Here is an 18,945-nt window from a genome sequence, read left to right as displayed (position 1 = left end):
AATTCTGAGTGGTGGATGCAGAGGGCTTTGTTTTATTAGTCTCCGTGGTTTCTGAGTGTCTGATGTCAGAATCCAAAGAGGTGACGGCAGGCAGGATGTGGTGAGACAAAACCACTCTGCAAGGGAAGAGAGGTTGAGCAGCATTTAGAGGGCCTGGGGACCAAAGGCTTGTCTGCAGCTCAGAGGCACCACAGCCTTTGAATCTGCCAGGGGGTGGGGACGGGTGGACCTGCGAAGGGCAGTGGCTGAAGACACAGACAGGTGGGGAAAAGTGATGGAGCAATGTCCACAGATAACTAGGAGGGGAGGAAGTGGCCTCAGATGAGGGACAGACTCTGCTGCTTCTGAGTCTGAGAAGGAAAAATAAATCATTAATCAGAATTCTGGGGAGGGGCAGGATCCTGAGGCATCCCTGTCTGATCATCTCTATCTTCTCCAGGAGCTGGAATTAAAGTCATCTGCTCAGAGGCAGTCAGGGGTGGGGGACAGTTTTGGGAGCTTCAGGGGGCTCTGAGAAAATGACAACAATCTACAACAGTGTTGTGGAAGCTGAAGGAACTGACTCACATCCAGCTGATGAGTTAGAAGGCAATACTGAGGCCAGCTAAGGTCAAACCGTGCATCCGCCTGGGACCCAGCAGCTCCCGGGTACCTGGGGTGAGAGAAGAGAGGGAAGAGAGTAGACTCCTGGGAGACTGAGGCATCCACTACAGGAGCGACAGGAAACAGAGGACGCAGCAGTGGAGAGCAGCAGCAGGAGCTAAGTGGTGGATGATGAGGGGTAATGACACAGAGGAGGAAGTAAATCCTAGAGGAGCGATGCATTGAGAGAAGAAGGAAAAGCCACAGTCAAAGGAGGGCCAAGAGCCCCTGGGGCAGCAGAGTGCGGGAGTAGAGAACAGGGAGCTCACTGCAGAGGCAGGTCCAGGGCAGGTCAGGGGGCTCAGGGACCACAAAGATGGAAGTGGTCACTAGAGGGGAGGTCAGATAACCAACAGCACCCAGCACCTTGCAGGACAGCAAGGACAGGACAGTGACCAGGAGCCAAGTCCTCAGTGGTGCCCAGTGGAGGGGCCCATAGGAGTGAGTCAGATGATGGTGGCAAAGGCACCATCCAGATAGCACAGCTACTGAAGAATAAGGCCCCAGAGGAACCTGTTTGCAGACTTACTGGGAGAGAGGTCCACAGCAGAAAACAAGTCCAGAGGGCAAAGCGCAGAGCCATGTGGATATACAGAAGGGAAAAGCACCAGGTAGCCAGAGGGGCTAGAGTGAGGCAAGGGCCTGGGCACAGCTTCAGGGCCAGTATAGGCAAGAGCTCCAATTGCCTGGCAAGAGCCTCACAACATTCACTGCCTTTAATGTTTGTTCAGTAACTCAAAAGTCAAAGACAAGTTACTTTAGTGTCTCTAACATCCAACCCCAGTGAGGCCTTGAAACCTCACCAAACAGTTGGGATTGGGGCTGGTTCCTGATTGTTTTAGGTGACCTGTGAATTCTGCACACTTCTCTCCTCTCCTCTCTAACATGACTGCAGTGGAAATACAATGATGACGTAAGCTTTCTTTTTCAGGGAGAGTTATTGCAATGCAAACAAGGATAAAGCGGCAAGCAACGCAAACAATGATAAGGTGCCATGCATCAATCCAGACATTACATTTTCCAGAAGGTGTTCTCTCCAGGGATAGCCAGTGCTTCTCCCCAATCTGCTCCTCTGAAAGAGAACCAGCTCCACTATCATCAAGAAGGGCCCTATACCCCATGGCAATGGCCAGTCTTCTTTGCAATAATTAGCTTCCAAAGTTTCAAAGTGCCAAGGCATGGGGGAAAATGCACATTGTCCAAACTACCCAGAAAGTAGTCCTTAAGAAGCAGCCAGAAGCCAAATCAGAAACGAGTTACTGTTAGTCTGTTCTCCCACTGCTAATAAAGACATACCTGAGACTGGGTAATTTACAAAGAAAAGAAGTTTAATGGACTCACAGTTCAGCATGGCTGTGAGGAGGCCTCATGATCATGGCAGAAGGTGAAGGAGGAGCAAAGGCATGTCTTACATGGCGGCAAGCAAGAGAGCATGTGCAGGAGAACTGCCCTTTATAAAACCATCAGATCTCATGAGACTTATTCACTATCATGAGAACAGCACAAAAAAAACCCCATCCCCCACGATTCAATTACCTCCCACCAGATCCTTCCCACAACACGTGGAGATTATGAGAGCTACAATTCAAGATGAGATTTGGGTGTGAACATAGCCAAAACATATCACTATGTCAACTGGAAATGCGTCAAGCCAGAAGGAAACAAGAATTTGTCCTATGAGTATTTATACCAAACACTCTCTATGTGTCAGGCACTGTTCTGGGCTCTGGAGAAACAATGGTAAAGTAGAAAACGTCCCTGCTCTCATGGAGCTTCCTTCCACTTCAGCTGTGGGGCAATGGACAGTGACGGAGGGAGGAGATAAAAGGGGGATGGAGCAGGCTGGAGCTGCGGACATCCCACCTGAAAGTGAGATGCCAGAACGGACAGGGGCATCACAAGTAGAACAGAAAGTGGAGACCAAGTAAGACCTGGCAGTGAGTGCAGTACCCTCATCTGAGTAGGCCAAGGCAGGGTCATAAAAAAACAGGCTATTTATTGTCAACCCCAAGCATCCTACCATTTCACATAAACCCATTTTTTGTTTCCAGGTGGGTACTGTGAGAAACTGAGATGTTTACTAGACTTCCAGAGGCTGAGCCTGTGACAAGGTGGAACTGGCAAAACACTCCACCATGAAGACATCTTCTCTAACAAAACTGCCTCTCGGCACATATGTATGTCATCCCTGTCCAGGGCCATTTAAACCCTCAAACAGCAAATGCTGCTGTGAATCCAAAGAAATTTCAAGGTGAGATGGTGCATCAGATCTTTCTAGGGAATTTTATTGGGAATTAATTTTATTTGTAAATTGTCAAAACTCATAGTGACTCCAAATATAAAAACTTCAAAAGCTAAAGACCTGAAATTCAGTACTGAATCTTTGATCTTTTCAAAGAATAGCTTCATCTGTGTTTATATAAATGAGACACACTGCAAACAGGCTTAACCGAGCCGGAGCAGAGAAGGCTCTTGTGAGTAAACACCATTCATTTTATACTGGCTGGAAATACATATCACTTCACATCAAAAACCCTTTAGAACGCTTTTTTTTCCTTCTAAACGTCCACATGCAATTTTTTTTTCTTAGAAATGGGGTCTCACTATGTTGCCTAGGCTGGTCTCAAACTCCTAGGCTCAAGTGATCCTCCTGCCTCAACCTCCCAAAGTGCTGGGATTACGAGCATGAGCCACTGAGCCCGGCCATATGCAATTTTTTAAAATACACAAGAGATAATCTTTTCTGGATAAGATTACTGATGATTTTATTTAATTACAAATCATTGTATTTTCAAAATTTTGGACAAGGAACCTGTATCATTTTATAAGCAGAAGTCTAATTTAAATAAATAGAATTTTCCTCTTTTAAAAAAGGATATATAGCATGTCTTGAGTCTGGTTGCTGTTGCTATTGTAACCCCAATCAGAAATTCCAACTCTAAAATTTCATTTATACAGAGAAAGGTAATCCTTTGGATATAAATTATTATCTAAGTTATGAATCCAAAAATAGTGACTACAGTTAGAGAAAGGGCTTAGGCTTAAGAGTCTCACAGACCTAGCTCAAGTCCATGCATACCAGCTCCAATACATATCAGCTGTGCAACCTTAGGCAACCTTGTAATCTCTCTGATCCAGTTTCCTCATCTGCGAAATGTCCGTTATGAGGACTAAAGGGCTGCCTGGGCAGTAAGAGGCCAGGTGCCTGAGGGTATGCAAAGCCACAGAAAAAACCTAGTTTTCTTCTGCTTCTTCCAAATGTGATAAATGTACTCAGAGATAGTAGCTGATATAAAATAAATGGGTAACTTGAAATATTTTCAACTGAAAACAAATGCAGATAAATTTTCAAAGTAAAAAACAAGACTTGAAAGAAAGGCTGGCCACATCCATCCTTGCTCCCAGACATCCAGTGGGAAAAAAGGGGAGGAAAACGATTGGACTGAGAGATCCTCTGTAAAGTACTTAAAACTTGTCCTACAGCAGACACCCAATACATAGTAGCTACCATCATTACCCCTAAGTAGGTACGTACAATTCAATAAGAAAAGCACGCCATCTTCATATCTTACAGCCTAGGCATGGCAGCATGGCAGGCATTTTAACCGCTATATGTTGTTAAGCGCCCAATTCATTTTTTGGGGTACTGATATATATCACACAATCAATATGCCTTGTCCGATCAAGAAGTACATAAGTAATATAAGAAGCTGGAAAGAAGGCAAACAGTCTAACATAAAACCAAGTCTCCTCAATTTTGGTTGAAATAATTACTACCATGTAACTAACACCCAGACATACAAACCGTGCCCTGAAATCAGGGTGTCTCTGGTTTCCCAGTTCAATGTTCAGGAACCAAATCAGTGTGATGGGGTTTGGGTTGTTTGATTTGGAGAGAGGGAAAGGGATAGAGAAGGAAAAGACTAGGAAAGGAGGGACTGAGACTATGAAATTATTACCGTAATTTGAAATCAAAACGCACAAATTCTTTTCATTATTAGAAACAAGAATCTTGCCACTTCCACGAGGAATCTGGATAAAACCTGAGTTGGAATTTGACTGCATTTCAGCCACCCCTCGATAAGGGGGTGAGCATTGAGAAGCTGGAGGATAGAGCCAGTGCTGGATGAGGGAACACCTGATTTTCATTCAAATGTCAACCAGCTGCACAAACCACTCAATGAAGCTGTTCTTGAATTATTAATCATCTTTCCCTGAATGAGAGAAAATGATTCTTTCTGGTTACTTGCTCTGCTTCAGGGACCAATTCAGAGAACTCCAAGCCAGACTCGAGTTTGAGGGAGCTCTCTGGTACCTGACACCCTCTGGCCAAGGCAAAAACAGAAAACAGCAAATGAAGTATTGCAGAAGAAAAGGGAGTAGTTGGCCTTCTAGAATCCAAGTAACTCCCCATATCCAAAGAAGCTGAGAAAGTTCCTTTAAAGCACATTAGCAGAGGTTTGCTGCACTGCTTGGGCATGATCTAATCTGTATTCCTTTCTATTCTAAATCAGGTAAGTTTCCTTTTCCCTTAAGAACTGTCAACAACTTCAAGCCTCAATTTTCTACTATAGATTAGACCCAGCCTTGCAGAGCAGAGAAGGGAGGGTTTAAAATCCCATTACTTCTAAATAGCGGAATTGTTTTAATCATCCCCCAAATATCTATGTTTGGATTCCCTGTCACCCCCAGATTCCTAAGTCTACTGATGCACGGATTTACACAATCTGAGAAATGGGGGAAAGCTTAGCGACTATCCAGGTCAATTTTCTCACTTTAGAGATGTGGAAGGAAGCCAGCAAGGGTCTTTCCTAAGGTTACATGATCGGAAGCCACCTTCCTCCCCGAGTTTCCCCTCTCCTCTCTGTCAGAGCCCTGTAGCAGGAGCTGCTCTAGCTGCTTAGTTCTATTTTAAGACAAACTCTCACTCTGCAAACCACTTATAGAAAACAAGGGCATCTCACCCACCCTGCAATTTTCTCCACGTCTTCATTTTGGGTCATCCCCACTGTATGAGAGTCTGTGATGCTCACCAGAACCATGCCTCCAAGAATTCGTCTCAGGGTCCTTCTCTGTCACCTAGACGCTGGGCAGGGCAAGGCTGTTAAAGGTGGGAAATTATGCACTGGGGTGCTCCTTCTAAACATTTGGCCTTGGCCATTCTTCCCACCAGCCCTCTGAGGGTGAGGATAGGGGGCTTAAACAACCTCAGAGAAGGAAGCCTTGAGAGTTGCATGCACTCGCTAAATGTTGCACAGTCTTTGAGAGGACCGGCGTACGCACTCCTGCGCGCTCTCTCAGTACTTCTCTTCCCCTATTCAGAAGCTTGCGCTCCTCTATTCCCACCCACACCTAAAGAACTGGGATCCACGGCTGCCCTCCACCTGGCGTAGCCCCGGGAAGGGTGACAGGAAGCTTGTGTGGGCTGGGGACGCTGGGGGCCTAGCGGAGGTTCGCCACCTGCAGGGGGTCTTCAGGAGTCGGACTTCAGACGCCAAGAGGGCAGATGGAGGACACCGTCGTCGCTCTCCACGGTCTCTCTTCGTGACTTTCCTCCATGGCCTTAATGATGCCTGCCCTTCCCAGTCTCCCTCGCCTCCTTGCTCTTCTCCTTCTCGCCTTTCCCCCACCGCCTTCCACTTCGACCCCCATCGCCTGGTCTCCTTCCTCTCCGTGGGCTCGGCTTCTCCCTACCTCTTACAAGGCGCTCCCGTCGTGTTTCCACTTTGTCTCCAATTATATCTAAATGCAACCCACCACAGATGCTGACATTTTAAATGTTTAGTTATTATAGCTACTTGACTAATTGCCGGGACCGACGGCGGCGCTTCTCCTTCGCCTCCCGCCGGCAGGAGAGGACGGGGCGGGAGAGGAAGGGGTTAGTTGTGGTTGTAGCCGCCACTCCCCGGCGCCCGGGACCCGGGACGCCCAGTCGGGCCCTGCAGAGGGTGTCCTACCTGGGCACCAGCGGCCCCTCGCCTCCAGCCAGGGCACCGAAGGCGCGCCCGGCGGGATGCAGCGAACTGCCTCCTGCCCCGGGACAGTGGAGCGGCAGAAGGTCCAACCTTCCGGTTCGCCCACGCCCGCAAGGTGGAAAAAGTGGGGTGAAATCGGGGAAATTTAGCGAAATTGGGGCGAAAGAAGAGAGACCAAAGCGTGTTACTCACGTGCCAGATGGCGAAGAAGATGAGCGCAGCGCACAGCACCAGAGACAGCATGTAGCAGAACGCAGCGAAAGTGAAGGCCATGGCCGGCGGACCCCAATCCCACCACACACGCCAAGAAGCCCCTAGGAGCCCGATGCCTCCCTAGAGGACCGCACTCCCTCCAAGGAGCCGCGTCTGCACGCTCCTCTCCAGGCTAGTGCCCAGGAGGGCGCACAGCTAGCGAAGCGACTCGAGGGTCAGCGAATAAGCGCTGGATTCCCGCAGGCTCCGGCGACCCCAGACCCGGCCCTCCGGCGAAGACAGGAAAACGTGTGTCGAGAGTCGCTGGAGGGAACCGTCCGCAAATCGAAGAAGAAACCAAATCAGCAGCGAACACCTGCAAATTAGTGCCAAGCTGTGAGCCCCTCGAGACCAACACGACAAGCGATGCGACGACTCCACGGAGGACCGAGGGAGGAGGTCCCATTCGCCCCAGGAAGAGCTCTCTGCTTTTCTCCACTAAACCGCTGAGGAGAGACGAGCGCTCCGCTCCGGACCCTCCCGCGCCACCGGGGCGCAAACGGATAGTGTCCAGCGAGGTGCCCGAGCGGCCTCCGAGCTCCTCCCAAATCCCAGAGCCGGGCAGCGCTCTTTCCCGAGAGAAGGAGTCTTTAGGTAGCCGGGAGGAGGTAGGTCCCGTTGGTCCTGCGCCCCAGACGCGGCTTCCAGCGCAGCCGTGCGCTCCGAGGCGCGCCCGTCCCCAACCGTGACTCCGGCCAGCCGGCCTCCGCAACCCAAGTGTCCCGGAAACCGGGGGTCGGACCGGGGCGAGCACTGGCTCCACCCAACGGGCCAACTCCAGCCCGGGTGGCTGCAGCAGTGGGTTTCAGGCCAAACGCTGTAGCTCGCTCCACCTGCTGCTGCCGCTGCCGCCGCCGCCGCCGCCGCCTTTGCCACTGCGAGAACTGTAGCGGTGCGACCCGGGATTCCCTCCTCTCGGCGCCCCACCCTCGACTCCTGTTCCGCTGAGCGCGCCCTCCCCGGCGGGCGGAGACTGCAGCGCCGGGGGCTGAGGAAAGGTGGGTGGCGAAGCGCCGCCGGGCGCTTGGTGGCCGCTGCCGCCGCCACTGCAGCTGTGCACGCCCGCCTCTCGGAGGAAACTTGAAGCCAGCAGTACAAGCAGGGCTGGAGGCCGAGCGGAGGTGGGGCGGGACCGGTTGGAGCAGGGACTCTTTAAACACGTGCGTCTGGAGGAGGTGGGAAGCTGCGGAAGGGTATGGTGTGTGCCTCGCGCCTAAACGCCGCAGCCGCCCCTCCCGGTTCTTGCAGTTTCGCCTATCGGAGTGGGAAGTGTGGGGACTTGGGGCGTTGCCTAGTGTTGGTTGGGGATACAGTGCAAGCCTTGGATCCCAAAGCTGCTTGGATGGATTTTACCAAACTGTAGCATACTCAGTGCTTAGGGCTGCGTTTACTGCTCTGCTCCCAGACCCTGCAAAATTCTCCATTAACGTCCTTCCGTTGCATCCTCTACCCTCCCCAGCCATCCGACCTTGGGACTAGGGAAACGTGGACTTGGTGGGCTATTCTGCGCTGAAGAGGCAGCAACGAGGGCTCGGTGGTATTGGTGTTGGTCCTAGTGGAATTGTCAAGAGGATGCTTTTGAAGGTAGACCGTTTTCTAGCTGCAAGTTACCTAACCTCTTTAATCCTTAGTTTCCTTATCAGAAAAACATAAATAAGAGTAGAGTCAAGCCATTTCAAAGGATTAAAAGGGAACATAAGTAAAAAACCTAGCACTTGGTATACGTTCAATAAGTGGTAGGGATTATTAATTGCACCCTTTCCCCCAGTGGCCCAGCATCTTGGAAGTTCACCATGCTTGCTTTGCAAGAGATTCCTGACGCTGCAGTGAAAGAGGTCCAGTCATTCCAGAGAGAACTTCAGTTTCAGACAAGTCATCAAATCCAGAAAGCAAGGAAAAATACCCTGAAAGACGACTGGCAAATCTCGGTGAAAGAGTAGACGCACTTCATGGATTGGAGTGAATCTTAGAGCACCTGGTACCTTGCACAGGGTGGGAACTAGATAAATAACTATTGCTTGATTCTGACTCTGGTGTGCTAGTTTTCCTGTTCACAGATGTGATTCCAATGCCTTGAGAGCTGGAAGGGATGAATTCCAGCAAGATAGAGATACAGCTTTCTAGTGACAGAACTGGAATCCTGTCTGCGGACTCCTAATCCTGGGCTCTTTCTACTATGCCCCAACATTCCTGCAGCTATTTGGCCACATCTTTTACTTATTTATTTATTTATTTATTTATTTATTTATTTATTTATTTGACGGAGTCTCACTTTGTCGCCAGGCTGGAGTGCAGTGGCGTGATCTCTGCAACCTCCACCTCCCTGGTTCAAGCGATTCTCCTGCCTTAGCCTCCCGAGTAGCTGGGACTACAGGCACGCACCACCACGCCCAGCTAATCTTTGTATTTTTAGTAAAGACGGGGTTTCACCATGTTGGCCAAGATGGTCTCGATCTCTTGACCTCGTGATCTACCCACCTCGGCCTCCCAAAGTGCTGGGATTACAGGCGTGAGCCACCGCTCCAGGCCCTTCAATTTATTTTATTTTATTTTTTTGAAGACAGTCTTGCTGTGTTGCCCAGGCTGGAGTGCAGTGGTGCTATCATAGCTCACTGTAGCCTCAAACTCCTTGCTAGGACTACAGGCATGCACCACCACACCCAGATAATTTTTGTTTTGTTTTGTTTGCAGACATAGGTCTCAATATATGGCCAGGCTGGTCCCAAACTCCTGGCCTCAAGCAGTCTTCCAGCCTTGGCCTCCCAAAGCGCTGGGATTATAGGTGTGCACCACAGTGCCTGGCCTCATATCTCCCTCCAGTTTAGAAACTAGATGCCTTTCAGTGAGAAGTGGAGAAATTAGAGCAAATCCAGAGGCTGATGACCAGAGCAATGAACCGATCTACATTTTATTGCCTCTGGGTCAGGACCGGCTACATACTTTGGAGGGCCAAGTGCAAAATGAAAATGTGGGACTTTGTATTAGGCCGTTCTTGCATTGCTATAAAGAAATACCTGGCCAGGCATGGTGGTTTATGCCTGTAATCCCAGTACTTGGGGAGGTCGAGGTGGGCAGATCACCTGAGCTTAGGTATTTGAGACCAGCCTGGACAACATGGCAGAAACCCCATCTCTACAAAAAATACAAAAATTAGCCGGGTGTGGTGGCATGCACCTGTAGTCCCAGCTTCTTGCAGGGCTAAGGTGAGAGTGTTGCTTGAGCCCAGGAGGTCAAGGGTGCAGTGAGCTGTGTTCATACCACTGCACTCCAGCCTAGGCAATAGAGCCAGACCCTGTCTCAAAAAAAAAAAACAAAAACCTGAGGCTGGGTACTTTATAAAGAAAACAGGTTCAATTGGCTCACCGTTCTGCAGGCTGTACAAGCACGGCACCAGCATTTGCTCGGCTTCGGGGGAGGCCTCAGGGTTGCTTTTATTCATGGTAGAAGGTGAAGCAGGAGCAGGCATGTCACATGGCAAAAGCAAGAGCAAGAGAGTGTTGTGGAGAAGTGCCACACACGTGTAAATAACCAGATCTTGTGAGAACACTCTCTTTATTGCGAGGACAGCACCAAGCCATGAGGGATCCACCCCCATGACCCAGACACCTCCCACCAGGCCCCACCTCCAACACTGGGGATGACATTTCAACATGAGATTTGGGCAGGGACAAATAACCCAAACTATATCAAGCTTCTTGATTAAAAATTAATAATTTCAAGACAGCAACAGCAGAACATTAAGCCAAGCATGAGGCCCTTCTGAGCACAAGACCCTGGACAGCTGTAGAAGTTGAATGCCTACAAATCTAGCCCTGCTCTGGGTTATACCCTATGTTGCTTTCTCTTTTACAGAAGTATTTCTTCCAGTATAAATTGTCATTAAAGAAAATTTGGAGGTCAGGCACTGTGGCTCATGCCTGTAATCTCAGCACTTTGGGAGGCTGAGGCGGGTGGATCACTTGAGGTCAGGAGTTCGCGATCATCTTGGGCAACATAATTAAGACCCGGTCTCTACAAAAATGAAAATAAAATTAGCCAGGCATGGTGGTGCACACCTGTAGTCTCAGCTACTCAGGAGGCTGAGGCCAGAGGATTGCTTGAGCCCAAGAGGTCAAGGCACAGTGAGCTGTGATCATGCCACTGCACCCCACCTCGGGTGACAAAGCGAGAGCCTGTCTCAAAAATATAAAATAATTTGGAAAATATAAAAATGAAAAAGATAAACACCACAGTTTGCTGCTCTCAGATACCACCAACACAATCCTGGTGTATTTCTTTCTAGCTGTTTTTTTGCTTTTTATTTTATATAGATCATTTCTTTTCATTGTAGTAATTGTACTGTATAAAATTTCGTGACACCAAAATTCTGAGTCCCTTTGGGACCTCTCTGATCTTTTGTTTCTGCTGGTTCTTGTTTACGGAGTCCTCGCTTCTTATCCATCTAGTAGATTTTTACTGTGCCAAACTTGTTTTGAAAAGTTTTCTTACAGTCATTTGAGGCCTAAAATTATGTTATCTTTCTCCAGGGAGGATTTTCAACTTCTTTTGCCAGGTATCTAGGGGAACCTAGTGCTCCAGGATTACCTTAATCCAAATTCAGCATTTGAGATTTTCCAGGATGACCAAGATAACTGTGGTCTGTGTGAGGGCTGCTTTATTTCTGGTTCAGCCTTACTCACATGGAGCTGTCCTTCTGGATCCCAAGTCAAAACACAGGGCTTATCAAGTCCCAACCCTTGATGGTCCTTGGACTCTGACTTTTGCCCCTAGCGCCACAGAGTACTAAAGGCATAGCTCAGTCTCCTCCTCAAGATTAAGAAATGCCCCTAAAAGCATACCTCAGCCACCTCCTCAAGATTAAGAAATGCCCCTAGAAAAAAAAACTGGCCCCAAGAGCTAAACCAACCCCTCTAGATTCTGAATCACTCTCAGCTTTTGACCCCAGTAATTCCGTACTCTCTTATTAGGTCTTTGATGCTTTCAAGAAGATGTTACTGTATTTCATTCAGCTTTATAAGTTGTGCTCAGTGGGAGAACCGGTCTGAATTCACTAGCACAGCATCACCAGAACCAAGAGTCTCTACATCAAAATAAAATTTCAAATTTAAAAATGGAATCCATTATCCTACCACTGTGACTTTCAAGTCTCCATCCAGCCACTGTTTTTCTTGCCATTTACCTGGTCCTGCTTTGCCTTGTTTTATTAGTTACAGAACAATATCTCGGCAAAGGTTACTGCAAAACTTCAGAAAATAAGAACCCCAGGCAGTTACTGCTCGTTATTTCAAAATATTTTAGTGTCCATAGTTCTGGGCGCTGTCAGGGATCCACAAGGTTTCTAGTCTAATTGGTGAGGCGGTAATTCCTTCACAAGGCAGTGTTTAAAAAAATCAAAAAGTACTAGTGACACAGTAGAGGAAGGCAAGGGAGATGGTGATTGGGAATGGATGTTGAGTGGAGTGACCAACCTACATTGTTTTCTCTACTGTAGACATTGAAAAGCCAATTACTTGATTTTTTTCCCCACCCACCATGCAGCCAGGAGAGGCCATATGACACAGTTTGAACTCTTTAGATAATATTTCTTTTTGCCTGAAATGCAGACCTGATGCCTGGAGGTACAGCAGCCATCTTGTGACCATAAGGAGGAAATCAACGCATTAAGAAGGGAAAAGCTAAGAAGATACAGAGAGCAGGGACCACTGACAACATGATCAAGCCACTCTACCAGGCCTTAACTTCCTATTCCCTGACTTCTTATTGAAAGAGACAATAAAACTTCTCATTTGTTTTAACCCATAGAAGTAAGGCATTCTGTTACTTATGGGTGAACACAATTCTTAACTGATGCCATGGTTTAATGGGAGTAGGGATCCTGGTATGACAGGAAATTGAGATAATCAGTTTATGGCTAGTGTAGCAGCTCCAAGACACGATTAATGTCCCAAGCTCTTTTGCCCTCCTGACTTGCTAGCCTCAGTATGTGGATTTTGTTCTCCCAGTCTGAAGGCATAACTTTTGGGGAAGAGTAAAAGAAGCCCTCTCCAGAGATCTGCTACATCTCATTGGCCAGAACTCTAACATTTGGCCGCCACTACCTAGTTGCAAGTGAATCTGAGAAGGTGAGTGTTTTTTCATTTCAGGCTTTATGAAATAGAAAGGCAAAGGAAGGGGGGTTTGAGCAGCCTTTGAACAGCCAGTTCACGTTTTTGCTATACTGCTCTAGTCAGGTTTTCTATTACCAGCAGCCTAATACAATTTCCAGGTGCCCCAAGTTGTGCTGACAACTTGGTGTATAAGAGAGACAGTGCTTTGGGGTTAGTATGATCAGGGAAAGTTCACTGACAAAGTGGCAACCTAAGGCAAATTACATCACACTTTTTCTCTGCTTGTAAGTAAGTCTGAATGTTCCATGTTTTCCTGACCTATTCTTAACCGATTCCTGCTCCTCCTGAGTTGTTATACATAAATTAGTTTTGGTTTTCTGCCTTCTTCTAATATATAGCAATACCTCTGTTTATTGAAGGTGAAGGCAAATACAGTTTGCATTAGTCTGTTTTCACACTGCTATAAAGATACTACCTGAGACTGGGTAATTTATAAAGGAAAGAGGTTTCATTGACTCACAGTTCAGCATGGCTGGGGAGGCCTCAGGAAACTTACAATCACAGCAGAAGGCAACGGGGAAGCAAGGCACATCTTACATGGCAGCAGGAGAGAGAAAGAGAGAGAGAGTGAAAGGGAATTGCCAAACACTTTTAAACCATCAGATCTTGTGAGAACTCACTATCAGGAGAATAGCAGGGGGAAACCACCCCCGTGATCCAGTCATCTCCTACCAGATTCCTCCCTCGACACATGGAAATTACAATTCAAGATGAGATCTGGGTGGGAACACAGAACCAAACCATATCACAGATGCTCCTTATGATAGGGTTACATCCCAATAAACCCTTTGTAAATTGAAAATAGTGTACATCAAAATGCATTTAATACATCGAACCTATCACACATTATAACTTAGCCTAACCTACCTTAAATGTGCTTAGAATACTTACATTAGCCTACAGTTGGGCAAAATCATCTAACACAAAGCCTATTTTATAATAAAGTATTGAATATCTCATGTCATTTATTAAATGCTGTACCAAAAGTGAAAAAACAGAATGGTTTTATGGGTACTTGAAATGTAATATCTATTGAATGTGTATCGCTTTGGCACTATTGTGAAGTTGAAAAATCTTAAGATGAACAGTCATAAGTCGGGGACTGTCTGTAAAGTGTACCCACACAACTGAAGACTTGGTTTATCATGAAGCTTTTTCCAACCTTATCTCCTATCTGCTCTCCCCTTACATTCCTGTCTCCACCCTACCCTCAAGCATCCATCAGAGAAATGGTCAAAGCGTAAAGGGGAATGCCTTTGGATTCATGGGAAGCTCAGTTAAGTGGGCTGTGAGCCTCCTCTTGCCCCATCACTCATCCTGTTCTGCCCACAGGAAAATCTGACCATATGTTTCATTTAACACAAAATTCGAGAGTATCTCCTAAACAGTATTTTCCCCCATAAATGAACTCTGTAAACTTTTCAGTGCCATAAATAACTGGTATGATATATCAAGTTACTCTCTTGCTTCCCAGCCAAGCCCTGTTGAAATCCCAGAAAGCTTTCCCCATCCTCCAGCTTAAATCCAGCTCACCAAGTTCTCACTCCCACCTCTCAACACCCCCATCCAAACACTCCCTCCAGTCCCCACCACAAAGATACTCTGCCCTGGCTAAGCAACCACCCCTAATACTGTTTCTCTCTTGGTGGGGTTTGGATGTTTAGAATGTCCTGAGAATTGGGGTTCTTTGAGTGTTTATTATAAAATTTTAAAAGATGTAGAAGAATAGAGAGTTTAGTGAACATTCATCTACCTATCTGGATTCAGCAACTGTTAGCATTTTTGTGCTTTGAGTTGTTTCAAAATTGTGTTTTACAGCTGGTTTGTTCAAACCAGGATCTAAAGATTTTCTCACCCCTCAGTGTTACAGTAGCTAGGCAGGCAGAGATGAGCAGGGCAGGAGAGGACCTCCCTCCAACAACAGGCATGCCAGGCAACCATCAGGTCATGGTCAGGTGATTGTTAACTGTCTCTCTAAAATAATAATTGGTTGTGGCCCCGTGCCAGAGAGAGGCAGTCTCCCAACAGATAGAAACACCTGAAACTGGTAATCAGCAGCTTCCCAATAAGATTTCAGGAGTTGGGCGAGTGGGCTCAAACATGTGCACTAAGAGGCAAAATGGCAGAGTTTAAAGGGTATATGAACACTGGGTAAAGGAAGAATTCCTCAAGTGAGCACGTGTACAACTTCAGTAAACACACTGTGCATGTGGCCCCTCCCAACTGCTGGCAGGCCACTGTGCATGTGGACAGCCCACCCCAAGGGAAGCATCAGGGTAAGGGAGGAGACCACCCCTCATATTGTCTTATGCCCAATTTCTGCCTCCAAAGAAAGAAGAAGTAAAAACTAAAAGGCAGAAATGAAATTCTCAGGCAGACAGCCCGGCGCCGTGCCCTGGGCCTGGTTAAAGATCGACCCCTGACCTAACCAGTTATGTTATCTATAGATTCCAGATATTGTATGGAAGAGCATTGTAAAAATCCCTGTCCTGTTCTGTTCCGTTCTGATTACCAGTGCATGCATCCCCCAGTCACGCACCCCCTGCTTGCTCAATCGATTACGACCCTCTCACGTGGACCCCCTTAGAGTTGTAAGCCCTTAAAAGGGACAGGAATTGCTCACTTGGGGAGCTCGGTTTTTGAGACATGAGTCTTGCCAACACTCCCGGCCGAATAAAGCCCTTCCTTCTTTAACTTGGTGTCTGAGAGGTTTTGTCTGTGGCTAGTCCTGCTACAAGGGGAGAAGGGATGCAACTCCCAAGAAATATGCCCTCATATAAAATCCCAAGTCAAAGGTCAAACTGTGCCCTTGACTGGCTCAAGTCGTTAGCTTGGCCCTCTTTCAAATGTACTTTATTTCCTTTTGTTTCTGCTCTAAAGCTTTTTAATAAACGTTCTCTCCTGCTCTGAAGCCTGCCTCAGTATCTCCTTCTGCCTTATGCCCCTTGGTTGAATTATTTCTTCTGAAGAGGCAAGAATTGAGGTTGCTGCAGACCCATACTTTGGTGCCGCCTGACTTGGATACGTTCCCTAACTGCTAACACCAGGACATGTTAACCCTTTTCTTGCATGTAATTTATTGCACAATAACTTTTTAAAAATTTTGAGTGCTGTAAAAGGAAAATAAAATCTCAGGCCCAGAAACTCACTAAGCTGAAGGGCTCAGTGGGAACTGGGTCACACAAAGGATGAAGGGCAAGCTGGGAACTGGGTCACACACACCAACTTCCCATTTTCTTCCTGAATAGATAGCTACTTACCTCCCTCACCTTTTGCTCAGGAGGAAACTCCTTGTAGGCCCCGAGACTTTTACCCTAAAGCAGTTCTGTTGAATTTCACCCTGACAATGCAAATTAACCACTTACTTTTACAGGTAAGGGACCATGAAGAGACCTAAAAGTCATCCCTTCACTCACCTGAGACAAATGCATATCTGATTGCTTCCTAGACTCTGTGATTATTTTATCTTATGTAAAAATGCAGATTCCAACTGAGGACCAGAGGAATGCATAATTGACTCTTTCCCCACCTCTCCTTTCAAATGAAAAATGTAGATTCAGTAAAGCTAATCAAAAGACTCAAAGGAATGCAACCGCTTGCCTCTTTTATCTGCCCTCCCTTTTTTCTTCTTCTTCTTTCCCCTGCTGCCTGCTCTTTTCCCTTTAAATATTGAAGCTCCCAGACCCTCTGGGAAAGGCAAGGACCACAGATGTTGCAGTGGTTATGTGTCCCTTTTTCCTGGGTGTGTCCTTAACCTTGGCAAAATCAACTTCTAAAAACAATTGAGACTTGCCTCCCACCATTTTCTTTTATTTACAGCACTTACCATTGGAAAGGTCCAAGGGCCAGTCCAGCTGTGTGGAAGCACAGGGACTTAATTCACTGCCAACCAATGTCTGTTGCTTTGCATGCCCTTGTATACCTAAGATGGCACTGTCTGGCTTAGGACTCTGTTTACTTAACTTGCTTAGCACACATTCACATGTGTGGGAAGCTATGAATTGCAGATTTGTGTGTGCTGGCTAAATCACCTTTTTCTTTAAAATAACTTAAATCTAACTTTGAGCCCCCTTCCTGCTTGACTGGCAGGAAATTCAGTATCAGCCTTCACTGGGGCTCCCCACAAGGTTGGGAAAAGCTTCTGGGAGGCTTTCATAGCACCAAAGCACCTGGCAGCACCTCCCTCCACCATTGGTCCTGGGTCCACACTGGTTCCTCCTGAGACATCCCAGTGTAACTGCCCAACAGGTTCCTCCTGCCCCCTGCACAAACAAAATCAACTCACCAAGACCATGGCAATATGGATAGGAGGAAGGGAAATACTGGGTAGAAGATGGCGGTCCCCAGCAAGGGCCACACCCTCAAGCCAGGACCTGTAGCCCAAAGTGAGAACATGCACTTTTGTTTTCCCGCCTGAATGTTGCCTTTTCCAAAACCACCCTGGCCCACCCTCCCTGCATCCTGTATTTATAAAAACTCCAGGCTCCACTGGCAGAGGTGCAGCAGAGAAGGAGAGAAGAGAAGTGACTGAACGTCAAGAGGAGAAGATGCAGCTGGACATTGGAGACTATGGTTGGAGAGGAGTTCGACTGGGAACAGCCAAACTCCAAGGGAAGACCATCTTCCCACTCCATCCCCTTTCCAGCTCCCCATCCCACTAAGAGCCACTTCCACCACTCAGTAAAATCCTCCACATTCGCCACCCTTCAGTTCATTCACACAGCCTGATTCTTCCTGGATGCCAGACAAGAACTCAGGTACCAAGAGGGCAGGTACAAATGCTGTCACCCTGACCCTCCACTGAGCTGTTAAACACTTAAGCCATTCATGGATGGCAAAACTAAAAGAGCACACTGTAACACATGCTCTCTGGGGATCTGGGGGGGTCGCAAGTACCCACCCCCAGACACTGCCGCGAGACCACACAGTGTTTACTCCTGCCGGCACCCAGAAGCACTCATCCCGGCCCCAGCACCCACTCACCTACATGTTCCCCTTCCTGAGAGGCGTTGAGAGCTGTGAGCTGAGTAAACGAGTCACCCCCTTTGTGAATCCCACAGAGTGGTCAAGGGAACTATCCTGTCTCATTGGCATTGCAGTAAAGAAAGCATTTAATTGACACAAGGCTGGCCAGCCACAGAGGAGACAGAGTTATTACTCAAATCAATCTCCCTGAAGGCTTGGAGATTAGGGGTTTTTCAAAGATAGTTTGGTGGGCAGGGGGCTACGGTAAGGAAAATGCTGATTAGTAGGGGAGGCGATCATAGGGATGTGGAAAACAGTCCTCATGCACTGAGTCCCCTTCTGGGTGGGGGCCGCAGGACTGGTTGAGTCACGGGTCTGGGTGGGGCCATCTGGTTGTCAGAAATGCAAAAACCTGAAAAGAAATCTCAAAAGGCCATCTTAGTTTCTGTAGTAGTGCTGTTATCTGCAAGATTAATTGGGGAAGTTGCAAATCTTATGACCTCTGGAATAATGGCTGGGAATTATGTAGAATTCAGGCCTCTCTCATTCTCCTAACTTGGTGGCCTTTCATTAGTTTTACAAGGACAGTTTAGTTTTGGGGAAGGGCTATTATTTAAAGTATAAACTACATTTCTCCCAAAGTTAGCTTGGCCCACCCCAGGAATGAGCAAAGACAGCCAGCCTGTGGGGCTAGAAGCAAGATGGAGTCAGACATGTCAGATTTCTCTTACTGTCATACTTTTGCAAAGGCAGTTTTGATAGCAACAGGAGGCAGCCAAATGCCAAGGCAGATAGGGGTGGGTCCCTGGTGAAACCCCACCTCCAAGCCAAAGACAATTTAAAGCCTGAAAGCCAAGCTACAAGTTAAATTCTCAGACAGGATTAAGAACTTGTCTTCCTGTTTGCGGTACTTTGCTCTGATTGATCCCCACCCTTCACCTATT

At 47.4% G+C, this 18,945-nt stretch overlaps 1 protein-coding gene and 1 long non-coding RNA gene across 22 annotated transcripts in view, besides 2 other annotated features; one reads left to right on the top strand and one right to left on the bottom strand.

The window, feature by feature from the left end:
* Positions 1-18,945, bottom strand: part of CNIH3 (cornichon family AMPA receptor auxiliary protein 3) — a 305,915-nt gene that overhangs the window by 116,490 nt on the left and 170,480 nt on the right. For 3 of the 16 annotated variants that reach the window (NR_136287.2, NM_152495.2, NM_001322305.2), the window contains exon 1: positions 6,810-7,748. The exons of the other annotated variants lie outside the window; for them this stretch is intronic. Coding sequence is in view for 2 of the 3 variants with exons in the window: in NM_152495.2 (NP_689708.1) it covers positions 6,810-6,890 (81 nt within the window). In the remaining variant the exon portion in view is untranslated. Of the gene's footprint in view, positions 1-6,809; positions 7,749-18,945 lie in introns of those variants that run through there. 16 annotated transcript variants of the gene reach the window in all.
* Positions 1,040-1,203: a silencer, noted in NCBI's record as "fragment chr1:224810564-224810727 (GRCh37/hg19 assembly coordinates)". NCBI's record gives its function as "represses an EF-1alpha promoter that drives an FKBP-Casp9 reporter gene in an ReSE screen in K562 erythroleukemia cells {active_cell/tissue: K562}" and the evidence as "EXISTENCE:reporter gene assay evidence [ECO:0000049][PMID:32094911]".
* CNIH3-AS2 (CNIH3 antisense RNA 2) lies at positions 7,838-15,947 on the top strand. Of its 6 annotated transcripts, none has more exons than NR_183286.1 (4): positions 7,838-7,867; positions 8,329-8,453; positions 8,638-8,847; positions 12,473-15,947. It is a non-coding gene; the product is annotated as a CNIH3 antisense RNA 2 (long non-coding RNA). The 6 variants fall into 6 exon arrangements; NR_183287.1 differs by having other exon boundaries at positions 8,638-8,861; NR_183294.1 differs by lacking the exon at positions 7,838-7,867 and adding an exon at positions 7,870-7,967.
* Positions 16,161-17,008: an enhancer, noted in NCBI's record as "OCT4-NANOG hESC enhancer chr1:224794759-224795606 (GRCh37/hg19 assembly coordinates)". NCBI's record gives its function as "activates a minimal SCP1, AML or CMV promoter by ChIP-STARR-seq in naive H9 embryonic stem cells {active_cell/tissue: H9 hESC(naive)}" and the evidence as "EXISTENCE:reporter gene assay evidence [ECO:0000049][PMID:30033119]".

This window comes from Homo sapiens, chromosome 1 (assembly GCF_000001405.40).
Source record: "Homo sapiens chromosome 1, GRCh38.p14 Primary Assembly".
Classification (NCBI taxonomy): Eukaryota; Metazoa; Chordata; class Mammalia; order Primates; family Hominidae; genus Homo; species Homo sapiens.
The sequence above is the reverse complement of the archived record's forward strand: the minus strand, read 5'-3'. Positions and strand labels throughout refer to the sequence as shown.